Raw genomic sequence first — 2149 nt, 5'->3', positions numbered from 1 at the left:
GCTAAGCTGCTCTTGAATTTCTGACTCACAGCAGCTGTGAGATAATAAATGTTTATGGTTGTTTTGAATTATTGACATTAGATAACTTGGTAAGCAGCTAAGGTACCTAACAAGGAATCGCAAGGTATGAGGGTAGGAAAGCTGGCACTTTGAGGTTGTAAAGACTTGTATTTGAAATCCAACTCTTCCATTGACTGGTTGTTAGACTGAAGCCATGTTCCTTTACCTCTTAGAGCTCCCATTTTTCATTTATAACATGACATCATGCCCACAGAACCTCCAAGATACAATAGTATATAGTAATTCTCAGTGTCTTTGTCTCCCTCTACTTTATATCAGTGGAGACATGCCATTTTCAAGGCTGAGAATAAAAGAAAAAACAGATTGTATTGACAACAGGTACTGCAGAGTTGGGTGTATTCATTGCCCTAGAAAGAGTCAGCCAGAGAGCTGTTAATCTGAGGTTGCCTGAGGCCATGTTTCATGGTAAGTACTACAGATTTTCAAGCCTATTCCTCACTTGGGTTAATTGGCTTTAAGAGTCCATCTCCTGCTGTGTAAACATAATTGCCTTTTATTTATTTGAAATTTACCTCTTCATAATTTCATGTCTTATTTTCTTCATTTGCAATGCAACAAGGAAATAGCTTTATGATGAGTATTCTTATGAAAGTGATTATTTAATTATCTCTTATTATGGGCCATATATATCATGAAGACATCTTAGTTTATTCTCAAAGCACCATCCCGGAATATCTATTATTTGTGACATTTTACTGATTAGAAAATAGATATAAATGCCAAGAATATTACTTTGCCACTTAGTATTATGTGACCTTGGCTTTTAGGTCCCTTTTACATCTTATTATTTTTACTATTTTTATTTTTTTGAGTTGGAGTCTCGCTATGTTGCCCAGGCTGGAGTGCAGTGGCACAATCTGGGCTCATTGCAACCTCCGCCTCCCAGGTTCAAGCAATTCTCCTGCCTCAGCCTCCTGAGTAGCTGATAATACAAGCATGCGCCACTATGCCCAGTTAATTTTTTTTTACATCCTATTATTAAACCTCCTTTACATTTTAGTTTCCTCAACTGCATAATGGAAGATAAGAATAAAACCTGTGCAAAATGAACTTGATGTGAATATTAAAGAAGTCAACATGAATGAAATACTTAAAACAGTGTCTGGTATATTCTGATAAATTACTGGTTAGTTTCTATCATTATTTTTCTAATCAGCATTTAAAAAGTTTAGAGCAAAATTTCTCTCTTGGCCATTTTGTTCCATCCATGGTATCTCTTTCCTGCAATAATATTCCATTTTACAGCATTTCCCACATCCATTTGATGCTTTCAACAATCCTGTAACTCAGCATCACTATTGTAATTTTTCAGGTGAACAAACTAATGCTCAGAAAGGTGAACGTGAATTGCGCCAAGTTCCTTTGGTTGCAAGCAACAGAAACCAACTAATGCTAGTATAAACTAAATAGAGAAATTCATCATAAGATATAAGTGTGACTTATCAAAATGAAGTTCATGAATGAGTTACAGGGAAGAGCCCTGAAAATGACAACAACTGCAACAAAGAAAGCCATAGGGAACCCAAGCAATGTGGCCTCTCTTCTTTCTCCCCTTTTCTCTACTTAGCTTTAGTTATTTTTCTCTGCAGATTGGCTTTCTCAGCTACTCAGTACATATAGTTGGAGAAATGGCAGGCTCCCAAATTCATATGTTATTATGCCAACCACAGGGTAGATTGAACTTGTACCTCTCTTTTTGGATTCTGCATTGCCACAGATGGAACTCTGGTTTGACTAGCCTGGGTCAAGAGCCTTCCCCTAATCCAATCAATCATTGTCAAGAAGTGGGGTCACAATGTACTAACATTGCTGCTGGGAACTCACTCCTGTAGATTCTTGTAGGAAGGCCATGGGCAAGTGAAAGACACTCCAGAGGAGGCCCAGAATATGAAATGATTTTCCTAAGCCATTTCAAATGTTGGAGTGGCTGAGGCAGGATTCTCTTTCAGATATTCTTTTCCCATGAGATCAGCACTTTTCCCACAAGCCTTCAGTTTCTTCCTTTCAGGAGGTCAGCACCTCCTCAAGTTCCTGCTGGAGGAGATCTGGGTACTCTTCTAACTGTAGC

Source organism: Homo sapiens, chromosome 1 (genome assembly GCF_000001405.40).
Source record: "Homo sapiens chromosome 1, GRCh38.p14 Primary Assembly".
Classification (NCBI taxonomy): Eukaryota; Metazoa; Chordata; class Mammalia; order Primates; family Hominidae; genus Homo; species Homo sapiens.
Note: the sequence above shows the minus strand (reverse complement) of the source record.